Genomic DNA, 18,798 nt, shown 5'->3' with positions numbered 1-18,798 from the left:
TTGCAGCACTATTCACAATAGCAAAGACTTGGAACCAACCCAAATGTCCATCAATAATAGACTAAAGAAAATGTGGCACATATACACCATGGAATACTATGCAGCCATAAAAAAAGGATGAGTTCATGTCCTTTGCAGGGACATGGATGAAGCTGGAAACCATCATTCTCAACAAACTATCACAAGAACAGAAAACCAAACATCGCAAGTTCTCACTCATAAGTGGGAGTTGAACAATAAGAACACATGGACATAGGGAGGGGAACCTCATACCAGGACCTGTCAGGGGGTGGGGGGCTAGGGGAGGGATAGCATTAGGACAAATACCTAATGTAGGTGACAGGTTGATGGGTGCAGCAAGCCACCATGGCACGTGTATACCTATGTAACAAAAACTGCACATTCTGCACATGTACCCCAGAACTTAAAGTATAATTAAGAAAAAAAAAAGATATATACTGGGAGGCTGAGGTGGGCAAATCACTTGAGCTCAAGAGTTCAAGACCAGCCTGGCCAACATGGTGAAACACCATCTCTACTAAAAATAGAAAAATTAGCCGGGTGTGGTGGTGGGTGCCTGTAATCCCAGCTACTTGGGAGGCTGAGGCAGGAGAATCACTTGAGCCCAGGAGACAGAGGATGCAGTGAGCCGAGATTGCGCACCACTGCATTCCAGCCTGGGTGACAAGGCAACTCCATCTCAAAATAAAAACAAAAGGTACAAATGGCAAACAGGTATAAAAAAAGTGCTCAACATCACTGATCAACAGAAAAATGCAAGTGAAAACTACATTGAGATATCTCATCCGGGCAGAAATGGCTGTAATCCAAAAGACAGACAATAACAAATGCTGGCAAGGATGTGGAGAAAAGGGAACCCTTGAACACTGCTGGTGGGAATGTAAATTAGTACAACCTCTATGGAGAACAGTTTGAAGCTTCCTCAAAAACTAAAAATAGAGCTACCATATGATTCAGGAATCCCATTCCTAAGTATACATCCAAAAGAAAAAAAAATCAGTATATTGAAGAAAGATCTGAACTCATGTTTATTTTCTGCACTATTCTCAATAGTCATGATTTGGGAGCAACCTAAGTGTCCATCAACAGAAGAATGGATAAAGAAAATGTACATATACACAATGAAGTGTGATTAATATTTAGCCACAAAAAAATGATATTCAGTCATTTGCAACAACATGAATGGAACTGGAGGTCATTATGTTAAGTGAAATAAGCCAAGCAAAGACAGACAAACTTCAGATGTTCTCACTTATTTGTGGGAGCTAAAAATGAAAACAATTGAACTCATGGACACACAGAGTGGAAAGAAGGTTACCAGAGCTTGGAAAGGGTAGTTAGGGGGTGGGGGAGAGTGGGAATAGTTAATGGGTATGAAAAAATAGAAAGAATGAGTAAGACCTAGTATTTGCTAGCACAACAGGGTGAATATAGTTAAAAATAATTTAATTGCACATTTTAAAATAACTAACAGTATAATTGGATTGTTTGAAACACAAAGGACAAGTGTTTGACAAGATGGATACCCCATTTACCCTGATGTGATTTTTATACATTGCATGTTTGTATCAGAATATCTCATGTAACCCATAAAAATACACTCCTACTATGTACCCACAAAATTAAAAAAATAATTTTTTTTACAAAAATGAATCTCACATTGATATATGTGTATTAGGAAAATATTTTCATTAAGAAAATATGAAATCTGCACCTCTAGCCCTCTGACTAAATACAAGGCAGATTATCCCTCAAAAGTTTGATAAACTTGGATTAATATGAAATAAATATGATTAAGAAATCCATCACATTTACATGATATTTATACACTATTGCCTATCTTAGATTATAAACCATGGCATGCAATGGTAAAGTCTTCTTACTGTTCTTGCAAGTTTTCCTTTGATTATTCTTGCTAGGATTCAAATATACCCCAAAGCACAACTTTTATTTGAATAAAAAGTGATCCATAACTTTAAATAAATAAGTTCAAAAATATAAATATAAATGAATATAAATATTAATTTATATCACATGTAGGCATAACACAACACAATAAAAAAGATAACTGTATTGTGGGTAGGGAGAAAATAGAAAATCAAGTCATTAGAAATTCAGGTCTTTTTTCCAACACAAAACAGAAGTGCTCAACTGCCATCTGTATTTAACTGTAAACATCTCATTATAAACCAAAGAAGCATGTCTCATGATGTCACCGGATGTGGTACTCCCTGAAGCATTTGGCATGGACACCCTTCTGGCACTTCTCACACCGGGTGTTGGTCTGTGAGTGGCAGAGGGCACACCGGGTCCTCTTGTCCTGATGGATAATCCAGTGCCCAATCATATCGAAGCGGCTCTCAGTCTCCAACCGCCTGCTTCGCCTCCCTTGAGATGTTGTGTCAGCATTGCTCTCCAGATACACACAGGCAATGTATCTCCGGAAGGCAAGGAGGTCCACCTGGGCATCTTGGCAGCAGATTCTATGCAGCTGCCATGCATTGTTGAGGGCAGCATCAATGACATAGCCAATAAAGCTTGAGTACCACTTCATGCCTCGGATCTTCACCTTGTACTTGGCAATATTCTGATCCATCCTACCAACGCCACCCACCTTCTCCTGATACAGCTTCACCAGTGATGGCTGGTGGACCTGAGTCCGCGTTTTAGCTGCTCCAGAGTGACGACTGGTCAGCCTCACTGGCTCTATGCCCACAGCATTGGAGCAAATGTTGACCACGCTGCTATCGTGCCAGCGGCACACGATGATCTCCTCACTCTCATCGACTTTGTAATCAAATGAACCCCTCTTCATTTTTTTCAGTTCTTTGGGGTCTTTTAGGGGACATCGCTCAGTCCTGTACTCACGAACAGTTCCTGTGGCTTTCACCCCCTTTTTCCTCAAAATGGACATCAGTTTAACACTTGTGAAAACCTTGTCAAAAAATATGTGATATGGCAGAAAACCACGCTCCTGAAGCGCATCCACAAATTTTATTACCATACTGCCTCCTAGATCCAAGCTCCTGTCTGGCTTGGTAAACAGTGTGCCCTGTGAGGGCTCAAACCACACCAAGTAGCCTCTGCTGGTTGTCCCACACCAAATCTTGTAGCCAAGTCGCACAGGCTTCCCCCTGTGCAGCTGCTTGGACCCCCGGTGCCCAAAGTACTCACACATAGACTCGCCAAAGCTGTAGAACTCTTCCAAGGGTGCATGCTTCTGGAAATTGCAGTTCATCCGGATGATGAGAGGTCTGACCTTGGCAAACCTATCACTTGCATCAAGTTCGTTGTTATCTGCAAAATGTAAGTATGAGAAGATTAGTTCAAATCTGTCCCTTCTAATTGCATCAGCCACAAGATGATGATGTGAATCGGGAGAGGTTTCCCAGAACATCCTTCTCCTTGGATAAGAGATGTACCCACTTAAAATCAAAATGCCCAAAACACACTTCAATTCCTGAGCCGTAAGACTCAAATTGACATTTTTCTGCCAAGCATAACGATTGGTTTCATTAACAATGAAATTAATTGTTCCTTCATCAAAAAACAACTCAAAAAGGCCCACGGGACTCAGCTCTTGGCTTTTCAGATCCTCAATATGAGGATCTGATGCAGTCCAACTGCCAAAGTCTGGACGAATATCTCTTTTGGTCCAAATGCGCTGAGGTTTCACAACTGCTTTCTGCCTCTTCTTGGCTGGCTGCAGCTCCAGGTCGTCATTATCCTCCCCGGTGCCAGAGTCCTCACACAGGACTGAAGCATGCAGCACACTGCCAGGTAGGTGAGCACCTCGCTGGCTGTCTTCATCCCCTGAGTCCTCATCAGTGAATTCCCCCGCAGCATTGTCGGGAGGTGCAATGAAAATCTCTTCCCTGTTGTTGTTGGACTCTTCCTCCTCCATAGCATTCAGAACCTCAAGCAGCTTTGCAGACTTCACCTTTGAGTGGATACCTCTCCCAGCAATGACATCTCTGTTATGACAGGAAACAGAATCAGGAAGAGGCCATGCCAGAAAGCCAATGCTTCAGCAGAAAAGAGGAGGGTGCTCCCACTATAAAACACTTCCACTTGAATGGCTTCACAGATCTGGCATCACAAGGCACCGCATTTAGTAAGTAAATTTTCCAGCTAAACACAGATTCTGCTTTTTATTGTTATAATTTTTTTTTTTAGACGGAGTCATGCTCTGTCACCCAGGCTGGAGTGCAGTGGTGCATTGCAACCTCCGCCTCCTGGGTTCAAGCGATTCTCCTGCCTCAGCCTCCCGAGTACCTGGGACTACAGGTGCGTGCCACCATGCCCGGCTAATTTTTTTATATTTTTAGTAGAGATGGGGTTTCACCGTGTTAGTCAGGATGGTATGGATCTCCTGACCTCGTGATCCACCTGCCTCAGCCTCCCAAAGTGCTGGGATTACAGGCGTGAGCCATGGCACCCGGCCCACAGATTCTGCTTTTAAGTGCAGAAGTATTTTAACAATGGGAGACGGAATAAACGGGTCTTACCTACTTCCTTTCCTTCTTAAACGATGTACTCTAAAGCAGAGGGTCCCTTTAGTGATGAATCCAGATGCTGCTGTCATCACCCCAGATAACAGAAACTGGCAACAGGGAGCCCTGGGCAGCTGCAGTGACACCCACTCCTGTCCCCTCAGACTCAATGGCCCTAGGAGCTCTGCAATTACATTTGTCTTACTATACCTTCCCTCTCTTATTGACAAATAGAAGTTTCCCTCATTCCCCAAATTCTCAAACTCTCCCAACTTGAACTCTCACTACCCAAATTCAAGAACTGAGCAGATCTGGATTTTCAGATAGCTCCCTTGCGGTTATCCTACTGTATGCTAACTGCAATTCAGAAGCCAAATCAATTTGGAAAACATGGAAACTCCTGACACTCTCTGGCCCTGTGGACATAGGAACCAAATGGATGGTGAGTGATACAGGTGCTCCTCGACTTACAATCAGGTTACATCCCAATAAACCCATCATGAGTTAAAAATGTCATAAGTCAAAAATGCATTTAATACACCTAACCTACCAAACATCGTAGTGTAGCCTAGCCTACCTTAATCGTGCTCAGAACATTTACATTAGCCTATGGTTGGGAAAAAAGTCATCTAACACAAAGCCTATTTTATAATTAAGTATTAAATAGCTCATATAATTTATTGACTACTGGACTGAAAGTGAAAAACAGAGTGACAGTATGGGTACTGAAAGTACAGTTTCTACAGAATGTATCTGGCTTTTACACCATCTTAAGTTGAACCACGCTAAGTGGGAGACTCTCTGTACTTGCATTTGAGCACAGACAGTGAGCAGGTGCTGCCCAGGGGCTGGCGATGGGTACACTCCACTCCCACCCTGCACAGCACTTTAGTTCTAATTGGAGGAGTCAGACAACAAATCAACAGACAAGTAGCTATGCAGGATGGTGTCAGGTAGCAATGAATGCCATCCCGGATAAGGACAGAATGCAACAAAGGGGTAGAGCTAGGGCTGCTATTTTGGACAGAATGGTGAGAGAAGGCTCACAGAGTGGGAGACCTGAAGGAGGTGAGAGAAAGAGCCCTACAGACAGCTGGAGACAAGATGTCCCAGGCAGAGAGAAAGAACCACAGGCACACAGTCCTGACACTGAAGGGATTCAACATCTGCAGAACGGCAAGGAGATCAGCGAGGCTGCAGGTGCAATGAAGACAAGAGAGCAGAGCAGAGCCAGAGAGAACCAGGCCCCACAGGACTCCACAGGCCCTGGCCAGGACTTCCAGTGTTCAGCTGCCATACGTAGCCCCAGGGGTGGGGGTGAACCATGGAACAGGGTAGTGAGGAATCATATCTAGGCTGTAAACACATCACCCTGGCTATGAGAATGGACTCAGCATGGAGGGTAGGCACAGAGGTCCCTGCAGCTTCCCTGTGCCCCTTTGCAGGCCCCAACCTCTACGTGAGGACCCTCCATCCCAACAGAAGGATGCAGGATTTACCACAGAAGCTGCATCAGTACAGACCTGCCCATGGACTTTGGAGTTCAGGCTGCATTAGAAATTCACTCCAACCTCACTTCCTGGAGACTGACTGTCAGCTGCCATGCTGACCTCCAGGGAGGTGAGGTATTCACTCATCCAAGCTCTGCATGGGCCAGAAAAAGAGACCGGCTTAAAGGGAAAGAAAATTAAAAGCCCTTCTCATGGACCTTGGAGTAAGGGGTACAGCAGCCATCTTCACGCTTTCCTGACCTGTCCTCACCCAGTTCACAGGGGCAGAGCCAAGGCTGCAAGCTCCAGGTCTCTACCAGGCTTGACTGCCCAAGCTCCAGCTCACCCCCAGACTCTCAAACAACTTCTGCACATGACTGTTCAAACCCCAGGCATGAGAAACCCTGCGGGGACTGAGGTGGCCCCAGGAGTAACCATCTGGTGTCTTTATCTTGAAAGATGAGGAAAGTGAAGTCATGGTTTTCTATCGAGTGTAAACATTAGTGCTACATAACCACACCCACACCATGCAACTGTCAGCCTTTTCCCATTTTTCCCATTCTTCTCCCATCTCCTCTCCCTTCTTCCTTTATACTTCCTGGACACCAACTGTTATACTGAGGCCAAGAGCTAAAAATGTCATGGACCTGGCCTTTCAAAAGCATAGGGGAATAAATTCTTCAATAAAACATTTGATCAAACAGCACTCCTACCTGGATGTTGAAGCCATGATGAACTGGGAAGATGAAGCTGTCTTTACTCACAGAGTCTAAGAACCTGTAAGACAAGAAAAGTCAATTTAAAAAAAAATTGTATCTTAAGAAGCAAGGCAACAGGATCTTTTCTACCATTTAAGGGAAAAATATATTTGACTTAAGATTCACCACCTTAATAGTGTCTGGGTCGACTGGTTATTCAGAGGGAAAAGAACAAACTCCTTCATCTCACAACTCACACCAAAATACATTCTAAAGTAGATGATATTTGGGGCTAGATGAGTCTTCCCTTGTGGGGTGGCGGGGCTTTCCACTGCATTCTAGGATGTTTAGCGGCATCCCTGGCTTCTACTAATAGATGCCAGTAGAACATCCCGCTGCACGATCCATAATAGCTAAACATCAGAAAAACCTAAAAGACTACCAACTGGGAAATGAATATATTAATTAGAAGTTTAAAAAAATGAACTACCTAGACAGCAGACAGATCCTGAAAACAACACTTAATGAAACAAAGCTGCAGAGAGAAAGTGCAGAACACCACTTATATAACTATAAATACCCACAAGAAATTCCCTGTGTTCTCAGCAGATACTATGTGCAGGGAAGGAGTATAAAACCAGAACTGGAAGGCTACACACTAGCTCTTCACAGAAGGGGTACCCACAGGGGAGGGAGGGAAACTGGAGTGAGGAAGTGGAAGATGAGATGGGGTGAGGGGGGAGAGGAAGGCCAACCAGATCTGTTAGTTCTTTTTATAAAATCTGAGTGCTCTGGCCAGGCGCGGTGGCTCACACCTGTAATCCCAGCACTTTGGGAGGCCGAGGCGGGCAGATCACCTGAGGTCGGGAGTTCGAGACCAGCCTGACCAACATGGAGAAACCCCGTGTCTACTAAAACTACAAAATTAGCCAGGCGTGGTGGCACATGCCTGTAATCCCAGCTACTCAGGAGGCTGAGGCAGGAGAATCGCTGGAACCCAGGAGGCGAGGTTGCAGTGAGCCGAGATCGCACCATTACACTCCAGCCTGGGCAACAGGAGTGAAACCCCATCTCAAAAAAAAAAAAAAAAAAAATCTGAGCGCTCACTTCGGCAGCACATATACTAAAATTGGACCAATACTGAGAAGATTAGCATAGCCTGTCCACAAAGAGGACATGCAAATTCGTAAGTGTTCCATATTTAAAAAAAAATCTGAATCAAATATGGCAAAATGTGTTAATATGTGTTAAATCTGGGAGGTGGGGACATGGATGTTGATATATTTTTCTCTGTATTTTCTGTATGTTTGAAATATTTTGGAGTAAAGACATTAGAAACCCTTTTAGCAAGTGAGCACTTAAGTGCAGAGTACTGTTTTAAGCATTTTTACCGATGTCAATGCATTTCAGTCCTTTCATATCTTCTTGAGGTTGTAGTAACCCCCATTTAACCATTGAGGAAACTGAGGCATGGAAAGAAGTGACTTGCCCAGCGATGCAGAACAAAATCACAACAGATTTAGAAAGTGTTAGTGTCCAAGGGCATCTAATTAGTTTTCCAGGAGATTAGACAGTCACGCTTGAATAATTTAATGGAAAACCAGTCGCCCTGACCCTGTCAGTAAACTGATAAAATGCAGTAATACTGGGGGGAAATGCAAACAGAAGTCAGGAAGCATCCCTGTTTATCCAGAGCTCACAGAAATTAATTATAGGAGTAGGGGGATTTGCACATGCACACAATGATGATGGGAGTTTCCACAAGGATTCCAGCTAAGGAAATATCTCAGCACCACAGGGACCCCATGCCAATATTTTCAAAATGGTGATGACTGCTGGCAAGCCACCTGGACAGCTGATTCAAGTTAACTTCTCATTTTAAGATATTAAACTTTCTATGCATTTTAATTTCCCTGGACAACTCACTCTGGGCCACTTTTACAACCGCAAGAATAGACCAACAACCCCTCTCTGCGCATCTCCAATAACTCTCCCACCTGGTGTCATATCCTTCTCTGTCTCCCTGCTGCACCCAGAACAGTGGCAGTTAGTGGACAGAGGAAGTAGAGCACCCAGAGGGTGCTTTAAAATTTGCTGGGGGAGCGCCCGGCCAGCCACCCCGTCCGGGAGGGAGGTGGGGGGGTCAGCCCCCCGCCCGGCCAGCCGCCCCGTCCGGGAGGTGAGGGGCGCCTCTGCCCAGCCGCCCCTACTGGGAAGTGAGGAGCCCCTCTGCCCGGCCAGCCGCCCCGTCTGGGAGGTGTGCCCAACAGCTCATTGAGAACGGGCCAGGATGACAATGGCGGCTTTGTGGAATAGAAAAGGGGGAAAGGTGGGGAAAAGATTGAGAAATCGGATGGTTGCCGTGTCTGTGTAGAAAGAAGTAGACATGGGAGACTTTTCGTTTTGTTCTGTACTAAGAAAACTTCTTCTGCCTTGGGATCCTGTTGATCTGTGACCTTACCCCCAACCCTGTGCTCTCTGAAACATGTGCTGTGTCCACTCAGGGTTGAATGGATTAAGGGCGGTGCAAGATGTGCTTTGTTAAACAGATGCTTGAAGGCAGGATGCTCGTTAAGAGTCATCACCACTCCCTAATCTCAAGTACCCAGGGACACAAACACTGCAGAAGGCTGCAGGGTCCTCTGCCTAGGAAAACCAGAGACCCTTGTTCACATGTTTATCTGCTGACCTTCCCTCCACTATTATCCTATGACCCTGCCAAATCCCCCTCTCCGAGAAACACCCAAGAATGATCAATAAATACTAAAAAAAAAAGAAAAGAAAAGAAAACCCTAGAAAATGTAAGCTAACCTATAGTAACAGAAAACACATTCGTGGGTGCTCGAGATGGGGGGGCAAATAGGGCTGGGAGGGAAAGATTACAAAGGGGCAGGAGGAAACTCTTGGAGATGATGGATATGTTCAGGATCTTGGTTGTGGTGGTGGTTTCACGGTGTGGTCACATGCCGAAACTCATCAAATTACACACTTCGAATATACGCAGTTTGTTGCATGTCAATTATACCACAATAAAGCTGTTTTTTTCTTTTGTTAAAAAAAAAACAAATTCCTCTATGGCTTGTGAGAAAAGCTCATCACCTGATTAGATCATAAGCTCCAGTAATCACAGACATGAGTCCCCATGGGCTTTCAGTAAATCCAAGTGTGTGATTGTGATGTCTGTGGGGCTCCAGCTCCCCTTCTGCTCTGACCTTCTTGGCACTAAGGCAGGCTTGCTGCAGGCAGATGCCAGGTGTGTGAGGTGCAGAAGAAAGACCTCAGTCCCTCAATCTCTCCCCACCCCCTTTCACAAGTCTGTAGCCCAGGAAAAATGTGTAATATGGAGCCACCAGCGATGAGCTGTGCGATTTTGGAAAGTCACTTACCAAAGAGACTTCCTGGTGCCCTTGTCTTTCACCTGTAAAATGGGATCATCATGGTACCTACCCTCACTGCACTGTGAAAACAGTAAGAGTCAATGTGTGTAAAGCAGACACAACAGGCCTGGATTCCCAAGTGTTAACTATAATTTCAGGTTCAAAACCCCTCACCTGCAATTCCAAAAGCCAAATATGGTTTAAAAACTGAACTTTCTTTCAAAACTTTGCAACAAACTCTTTGGCAGCAAAACCTGGACTGACCTGAGGCTCTTCATAATGTCTAATTCTGTTACTATAAATATCCATACATTTTGCTGCAGAAATTATGTTTGATTAAGGATGCATCAGTATGACTGATAAAACTCAAACAGTCTGACTTCTTCCCCAGGTCCAGCCAGGTTTGGGTCAAGAAGCCTGACTTGTGTTACCATGTCACAGTTGCTTCACCTCTCAGCAGTTTACCACCTTTTCCTCCACTGTGCCTTAGGCTGGCCCCATCCACTTGCTAACATACAGACTGACAGCCTCCAGCCATTAGGGCATGAGCCCATCTTCACAGCCTACCAAGAACTTGCCAACCAAGCTCTGAAATAAAATCAAAGCCATTCACAGCCTGGTCCCCAGCCTCATCCCGACCCAGTTCTGCCTCTAGGTTCAGACCACTCCTGAGGGCTGGTCCAGTTTCTTGTATCCTGTCTCCCTCAGGTTCCCTACTCTGGCCTGACTGCTTTGCTTTCTTCTTGTGTGCTGTGCCTTTTGCCTGGGGTGCCATTCCCTGCCTATGGGATCCCCTGCAATGTCTTTCTCATCCATCAAGCTTCCAATCAAGTCTTCCTCTTACCACAGCTTTCACCACAATAGACTGAAATTAATAATCCATCTTCAGGTCGACCCCACCTCTGTATCCCCAAAAGGCAACATGGCATCTGGCATGCAGCAGGCCCTCAATAAATACTCGCTGAACCAAATTAATCATGCCACAGAGCCAAATGGCCACACTCCAGGGCACCCCGTCCATCTCAACCTGCTGCAGACTTTCATTTTCATCTTTACTATTTGGCTTTGAGACAACTATTTAGAAAAGAACCAGAAGCTCTTGATATATGCTTGACCCTAACTAAAATATACTCCTAAAAGAGTCTCTGAAACCACGCATAGGAAATACCTGTCAGTGAAGAATCTAATACAGTGGACTCAACCAGGTCAGAGGGGGATACATACGCAAGAAGCTCAGCAAAAACCCATTCTACCTTTCAGGAGTCTGTAGACTGTGCTCCCCAGGCCCTCCATCCCCTCACATGTGGCTCCTCCATCTTTCTTGCCCTGCCTGAGACAACCAACAGAGGAAGAGGACATGGGTAACCAGTGCTCCTACATACCAAGCAAACTCACAAAGGGAATAATGTCTAGATAGAGGCTGTTAGGCAGCCACACTATCACTTTTTCATTCGTTTGGCAAACATCTGAAGTATCTACTGGGTGCCAGGTATATATGCATAAAATTGTAACTATGACAGGGCTAAGAAGGAAAGGAGGTGTTTATCAAAACCCGTAAAACGGAAACTGATCTAGTCAGGGAGGTCAGAGAATATCTCCCTGAGGAAAAGACAAAATGATGGAGAGCTGCAGAAAGAGTAACAATTCCCTCAGCAGGCAGGGAATAGCACCCCAGGCAAAAGGCACAGCACAGGAGAAGCAAAGCAGTGACGCCAGAGTAAGGAATCTGCGGGACAGGGTACAAGAGGCTGTACCAGCCCTGCAGAGACTTGAAGACCCTGTTAAGGAGGCCTGTCTTTATAAGAGCTATGGGAAGTTTAAAAAAAAAAAAAATACAGGAAGAGCATAACAGAAGGAAGGGTGTATGTTAACAAGCTTATTCTGGGTGCAGTATGGACAACTGAGTATGCAGGCCCCAACATAGATGCAGGGAGATGGACAAAAAGGCTACGGCAAAAGGGTGGGGCCTATGGAGAGAAATGGACACACTTAAGGAGGACTTAAAATGTAAAACCATCAAGCCTGGATAATTGGTTGAGGGGGTAGGGCAGGGGAGAAAGCTGATCGGGGAAGCCTCCTAGATTTCAGGCACCCTATGGCTGGTGCACAGAGGTGCCATTCACTAAGCCTAGCAGCACTGGGAGGAAGAGCAGAGGGTGGTCACGAGCTGCCCAGAGGTCCAACTGGGCATTCTCAACTGAACTGGCCCAGGCACTCAACAAAGAAAAAGCAACTTGGTGTGAGACCTGGAGCTCCCCAGGCCACTCTAAAGGGTCCTAGGGGATTGGGAGGTGGGAGAGCTGCTGTTTAAAATGTAAATTTCTCCAAGGAAAGACAGGACAACTAAATGCTGTCTTGGAACCTAAATTACAAAATGGAAATAGGTGAGAGTAAAGAAATTCGAATAAGGCCTGTAGGTGTTAATATCCTGGTTTTGTTGACTGTTTTGTAAAATAAGATGTTAACCCCTAGGAAATCCAGACGAACCGTACATGGGAATTTTTGCTTGTTTCACAACACTCTGAAACTCTGAAATTAATTCAAGATAAAAATTATTCAAAAGACATTTTATAGATGTAAATGCCCCAAAGCTGAGCCAGGTGCCTAACTGTAGGGAAAAGAAAGAGAAGTCAGACTGCTACTGTGTCTATGTAGAAAGGGAAGACATAAGAAATTCCATTTTGACCTGTACCTTGAACAATTGCTTTGCCCTGAGATGCTCTTAATCTGTAACTTTGCCCCAACCTCTTTGCTCCAACCTTGACCTCACAAAAACATGTGTTGTATGGAATCAAGGTTTAAGGGGTCTAGGGCTGTGCAGGACATGTCTTGTTAACAAAATGTTTACAAGCAGTATGCTTGGTAAAAGTCATCACCATTCTCTAGTCTCAATAAACAAGGGGCGCAATGCACCATGAAAAGCCACAGGGACCTCTGCCCTGGAAAGCCGGGTATTGTCCAAGGTTTCTCCCCATGTGATAGTCTGAAATACAGCCTCGTGGGAAGAGAAAGACCTTACCGTCCCCCAGCCCGACACCCGTCTGTGCTGAGGTGGATTAGTAAAAGAGGAAAGCCTCTTGCAGTTGAGATAGATGAAGGCCACTGTGTCCTGCCTGCCCCTGGGAACTGAATGTCTCCGTACAAAACCTGATTGTACATTTGTTCAATTCTGAGATAGGAGAAAAACTGCCCTATGGCAGGAGGCAAGACATGTTGGCAGCAATGCTGCCCTGTTATTCTTTATTCCACTGAAATGTTTGGGCAGAGAGAAACATAAATGTGGCCTACGTGCACATCCAGGCATAGTACCTCCACTTGAACTTATGACATAAATTCTTTTGCTCACATGTTTCTTTGCTGACCTCCTTATCACCCTGCTCTCCTACCGCATTCCTCTTGCTGAGATAATGAAAACAATAATCAATAAAAACTGAGGGAACTCAGAGACCGGTGCTGGTGCAAGTCCTTGGTATGCTGAGTGCCGGTCCCCTGGGCCCACTGTGGTTTCTCTATACTTTGTCTCTGTGTCTTATTTCTTTTCTCAGTCTCTCCTCCCACCTGACAAGATATCCCACAGGTGTGGAAGGGCAGGCCACCCCTTCACCCAACAGCTCAGAATGGCTTTTGTGGGATACGGAAGAACCCTCCCTTCTCTTCACCTCACTAGCAAAAGAGAAAGAAGGGCAAACAAAGACCCTCAGAAACCTCAGCAGCTTCCCAGGCAGACGCAGTTAAAAACGACCCGCCCCCAGCGCGCCCCGGCACAGAGCCACCCCGCCCCAGGATGTGACGTGGCATTCGCAGTCCCGCCGCCAGCCTCAGGCCGCCCGCCTCCTTCGTCCCGCCCACCCCGCCCGAGCCTGCCCTGGTCCCTCCCACCCCGCCCTGAATCCATCCCTCTTTAGCCCGACCCCGCCCTGGTCCCCACCCACCCCGCTCCGCCTCCCGCTCAGCCGGCCCGGCCTCCGGCCTCGCACCCCAACCCGCAGAAGGAGCGCCCCCTTGCGGCCCTCGGAATCCCATTGTTCCTGTCCTGGTCCCGCCAGCCCACCGTCGGCGCGCAGTGGTGAGGACGAACTCCTCGGATGCCGCCGTTGAGAAAACGCAACATCAACGCCAACCACTCCTGTACTCAAGCGAAGCCCTGCCTGCAGCGCGAGCACACTGAGGCCTACCTGCCCTACCCCAGACGGAGACTCGCGAGCCCGAACCGGACCATGAGCCGCGCCGAATCGGAGCGCTGCGCCTGCGTTGGCGTCGGGCGTCGCGGCCGCGCAACGTCCGGCACCAGAGGGCTCGCTGCACCTCGGCCGGCCTTCCATGCCACGCCCCCGGGCCAGGCCACGCCCCGGCCCGAGCGACCATCGAGACTCCAGGACCTCCGCGGCGCCTAGAGGGATCCCGAAAACGCCTGCGAGGCCAGAACGGCCGAAATAACCCACCCCAGCGGGCCAGCTCTTCCCGCCACTCTCCCTTACCCTCCCACCCCTGTCCTACTTTGGAAACCTTCCTCGCTCCTTCCTAATCAGGAGAGCATGGGGACTTTCTAGGGTAGTGGTTCTCAAATGTGCCCCCAATCTAACAGCAGCTTCACCTGGGAAATCGATGGAAATGCAAATCTTGGGACCCCACTACAGGCCTTCTGAGTAAGAAACTCTGAGGGTGTGCCCAATAATCGGCCTTACCAACCCTGAAGGTAATTGTGGTACAAACTAGGGCTTGAGAACCACTGCTGTATGGCAGGGTTTCTCAACCTCCACTCTTGACATTTTGGGCCTGGATAATTCTTTGTTGAGAGGGAAGGAGGCTGTCCTGTGCATTATAGGAGGCAGGGTCACGGATAAAATACAGTTAAATTTGAGTTTCAGGTAACAGTGTTGTTCATCTAAGATTCACATTTAACTGGAAGTCCCTGTATTTCATCTGGCTACCTTGCCTACCTATATTTTTACTTGGTAAAAATAGAACCTTAATTGTAGGATATTGAGCATCCCTAGCAACTAAATGCCAGTAGCACACCACACTCTCTCCACTCTAGTTATGACAAATAAAAGTATCTCCCCCTACTTCTTGAGAATCACGGCTCTATAAGGACTTTGTCCAGCTGAAACCCAGTAGCCCATTAGGTATATAGGACAGTGTACTCCGCAGAAAACTGCCTTGCCCTGAAAGGCTTTGAACACAGAAATCCCTGGGACCAAACCGTGTTAACATTCAAAAAGAGGGCCACTTAGTGAAGAGTTTGTATTTGCTTCTCCACACTGACACTTCACAAAGGTTTTTTGGTCACTGTAAAGTGTGTTCCAAAACCCCTGGATCAGAAGAAAAAAATCATGCTCATTTGTGAGATTCTGAAGTGAAGGGCACGTATTAGTTTGTCATTCATTCCACATATGAGCAAATTGAGAAAACAGGCAATAAGCCATGGGAAAATGGGAGTGCTACTCTAGGTAAGGTAGGGTGGTGTTTCTAACTTGCTTTGTTCCCCAGATCCTGTGTCTCATTCATTCATTCAAGTGTTAAATGAGTGTCTTCTCTGTGACAATCACTCCTCTGAGCAGTGATGTTAGAACAGTGAAAAAGAAAAGGCACAAGAGAAAAACCCTCTTGTCATTTCAGTGGGAGAACCAGACAGTAAACAAAATATATGGCATGTCAAAGTGGAAAGTGCTAGGAAGAAAATAAAGGAAGCAAAGGGGACCAATAAGACTGTTGTGAATTCAGTTTTAAATAATTTGGTCAGGGAAGGTTGGTAAGTGAGAAGGTTGTATTTGAGGGAAAAGCCAAAGAATATGAAGAGCAAATTCCCCATGCAGAATTCAAGGGGGAAAATATTTGAAGCAGAGAGAATGGCATGTGCAAATGCTCTGAGGCGAAGCAAGCCTAGCACATTTGAGAATGGCTGGAGACAAAAGAAAGTCAAAGAAATGAGGTCAAAGAGGGGGTGAGTTCAACAAGGAGTAATAAGGTGCTTGCTGGCTGTTTCTTCCATACCTTTATGATCCAGAGAGAATTCTCACTGCAATTTGGATACTTGCATATGTAATTTAAAGTTAATAAAAAGATCGGGACCAAGTGTAAGTGTTTATGGAGCTGCAAAGAGTCCATCTAGACATTTTCAGTGCATTGCTTTGAATAAAGCTACGTTTAAAAACAAAGTCAAATCTTTGAAAACAATGTCAAATTTGGGGTAGAATGGCAGAAGAACTGCATGATAGGAATTGGGAAAAAAAAAAAAATTTAGCCCGTTAAGCTAGAATCCTTTGAGGAAAATACATATTTTGAAGTTCTTTAATTGAGAAATAGGCTAAATAAGCTTTAAGGAAAAAATTGGGGAAAATATTTAAATTATGTGTATTATGAGTAAATTTCATAAAAGCCTTGCAGCCTAGTTTGTTTATAGATACTATCTTGCTTTAGGGAGTTAACAAATAAAAAAAAAACATAAAAAGAAGAAAATGGACTTAGGGAATTAAACTTATATATTTATTAATTTATTTCATTTAGTTTATTTCACCTGTACATGTCTTTGTGTGTATGTATGGGGTGAGACTTTACATATAAAAATTCTCATGTCGCATTGACTAAATAACACCTTATGGTTGATGATGTTAGTACATAGCAGCAATTAAAGCTCAGCTACAAGTTGCTGACTACATTAAAGTTTTTGACAGCCATAGCAGTATCACAGCCTACCCAACAATTAAGAATGTCACATACATGAAACCACAGTTGTATGGAATTATGAGAAAATACTCATTAGTCCATCAGGATATTTTAGTTAAGGAAATTACTAGAGATATCAGGTGAGCTGGACCTGAAGAAAGAACCAGATGCCAAATAATTTCAGGCTAGAACTCCCAAGCGCCCATGATTAATGGGTCCAGGATAAGAAGAGATTGCTGGTTTCTTGAAGCTTGCTTGTTAATAAATGATATGGAGGTGGCATGCATTCCGATGACAATTGAATTGATTTGACGCACTATGTATGATTAAGGATTTGATGTCCTGCATAAAGTTAAGAATCAGGCTGGGCAGTGGTGGCTCACACCTGTAATCCCAGCACTTTGGAAGCCTGAGGTGGGAGAATCGCCTGAGGCCAAGAGTTCAAGACCAGCCTGGGCAACATAGTAAGACTATGCTACATTAAAGTTAGCCAGGTGTGATGGTACACACCTGTAGCCCCAGATACTCAGGAAGCTAAGACAGGAGGACTGCTTGAGCCCAGGAGTTTGAGACCTCAATGAGCTATGATCATGCCACTGCACTCCAACCTAGGTGACAGAATGAGACCCTGTCTCTAAAAGAAAACAAAAAATAAAAATAAATTTAAAGTTAAGAATTAGTTGATAGGGAGTCAGGAGCAATGGTTCATGTCTGAAATCCCAGAAATTTGGAAGGCCAAAGCAGGAGGATCATTTGAGCACAGAAGTTTGAGACCAGCCTGGGCAATATAGGAAGATCCCATCTCTACAAAAAAACTTGTTTTTTCTTCAGCTTTTATTTTAAGTTCAGGGGTACGTGTGCAGGGTGTGCAGGTTTGTTATATAGGTAAATGTGCCATGCTGATTTTGCTGCACAGATCAACCCATCACCTAGGTATTAAGCTTAACAAGCATTAGCTACTTTTCCTGATGCTCTCCCTCCCCATAGGTCCCTGACAGGCCCCACTGTGTTGTTCCCCGCCACCCCACCCCCACTGCCCCATCTGTGTGTTCTCATAGTTCATCTCCCACTTATAAGTGAGAACATGTGGTGTTGGGTTTTCTGTTCCTACATTAGTTTGCTGAGGATAATGGTTCCCAGCTCCATCCATCTCCCTGCAAAAAGATATGATCTCAATCCTTTTTATTGCTACATAGTATTCCATGTTGTATATGTACCACATTTTCTTTATCCAGTCTATCACTGATGGGCATTTGGGTTGATTACATGTCTTAGCTGTTGTGAGTAGTGCTGCAATGAACATATGCATGCATGGTATCTTTATCATAGAATGATTTATATTCCTGTGGGTATATGCCCAGTAATAGGATTGCTGAGTCAAATGGTATTTCTGATTTTAGATCTTTGAGGAATCACCACACTGTCTTTCACAATGGTTGAACTGATTTACATTTGAACCAACAGTGTAAAAGCATTCTGATTTCTCTGCAACCTTGCCAGTAACTATTGTTTCTTGACTTTTTAATAACTGACATTCTGACTGGCATGAGATGGTATCTCATTATAGGTTTTTTTTTTTTTTTGAGATGGAGTCTTGCTCTGTTGTCCAGGCTGGAGTGCAGTGGTACGATCTCAGCTCACTGCAACCTTCGCCTCCTGGGTTCAAGCAATTCTCCTGCCTCAGCCTCCCAAGTAGCTAGGACTACAGGTGTGTGCCACCATGCCTGGCTATTTTTTGTAATGTTAGTAGAGATGGGGTTTCACCATGTTGGCCAGGCTGGTCATGAACTCCTAGTCTCAAGTGATCCGCTTGCCTTGGCCTCTGAAAATGCTGGGACCACAGGCATGAACCATTTCGTCCAGCCTTCATTATAGTTTTGATTTGCATTTCTCTAATGATCAATGATGTTTTTAATGGGGCTGTTTGTTTTTGTTCTTGTAAATTTGTTTTTATTCCTTGTAGACTCTGGATATCAGACCTTTGTCAAATGAATAGATTGCAAAATTTTTCTCCCATTCTGGAGGTTGTCTGTTCACTCTGATGATGGTTTGT

General features: G+C 45.1%; 1 protein-coding gene and 1 pseudogene across 8 annotated transcripts in view, besides 4 other annotated features; one reads left to right on the top strand and one right to left on the bottom strand.

The window, feature by feature from the left end:
* Positions 1-18,798, bottom strand: part of PGBD2 (piggyBac transposable element derived 2) — a 57,341-nt gene that overhangs the window by 9,595 nt on the left and 28,948 nt on the right. For 2 of the 8 annotated variants that reach the window (XM_047417845.1, XM_047417849.1), the window contains exons 1-3: positions 14,255-14,362; positions 6,718-6,781; positions 3,196-3,995 (exon numbers count right to left, since the gene is read on the bottom strand). In XM_047417845.1, the coding sequence (XP_047273801.1) occupies positions 3,196-3,995; positions 6,718-6,734 (817 nt within the window). In that variant the 5' untranslated portion in view covers positions 6,735-6,781; positions 14,255-14,362. The other 6 variants (NM_170725.3, NM_001017434.2, XM_011544159.3 and 3 more) reach the window with 6 other exon arrangements.
* Positions 7,804-7,905, top strand: RNU6-1205P (RNA, U6 small nuclear 1205, pseudogene; annotated as a pseudogene).
* Positions 13,811-14,732: an enhancer, noted in NCBI's record as "H3K27ac hESC enhancer chr1:249200064-249200985 (GRCh37/hg19 assembly coordinates)". NCBI's record gives its function as "activates a minimal SCP1, AML or CMV promoter by ChIP-STARR-seq in naive H9 embryonic stem cells {active_cell/tissue: H9 hESC(naive)}" and the evidence as "EXISTENCE:reporter gene assay evidence [ECO:0000049][PMID:30033119]".
* Positions 13,917-14,006: a silencer, noted in NCBI's record as "silent region_2055". NCBI's record gives its function as "represses an Ori minimal core promoter by ATAC-STARR-seq in GM12878 lymphoblastoid cells {active_cell/tissue: GM12878}" and the evidence as "EXISTENCE:reporter gene assay evidence [ECO:0000049][PMID:35858748]".
* Positions 14,097-14,286: an enhancer, noted in NCBI's record as "active region_2889". NCBI's record gives its function as "activates an Ori minimal core promoter by ATAC-STARR-seq in GM12878 lymphoblastoid cells {active_cell/tissue: GM12878}" and the evidence as "EXISTENCE:reporter gene assay evidence [ECO:0000049][PMID:35858748]".
* Positions 14,417-14,476: a silencer, noted in NCBI's record as "silent region_2054". NCBI's record gives its function as "represses an Ori minimal core promoter by ATAC-STARR-seq in GM12878 lymphoblastoid cells {active_cell/tissue: GM12878}" and the evidence as "EXISTENCE:reporter gene assay evidence [ECO:0000049][PMID:35858748]".

Source organism: Homo sapiens, chromosome 1, assembly GCF_000001405.40.
Source record: "Homo sapiens chromosome 1, GRCh38.p14 Primary Assembly".
Taxonomy (NCBI): domain Eukaryota; kingdom Metazoa; phylum Chordata; class Mammalia; order Primates; family Hominidae; genus Homo; species Homo sapiens.
Note: the sequence above shows the minus strand (reverse complement) of the source record. Positions and strands in the feature narration are given on the sequence as shown.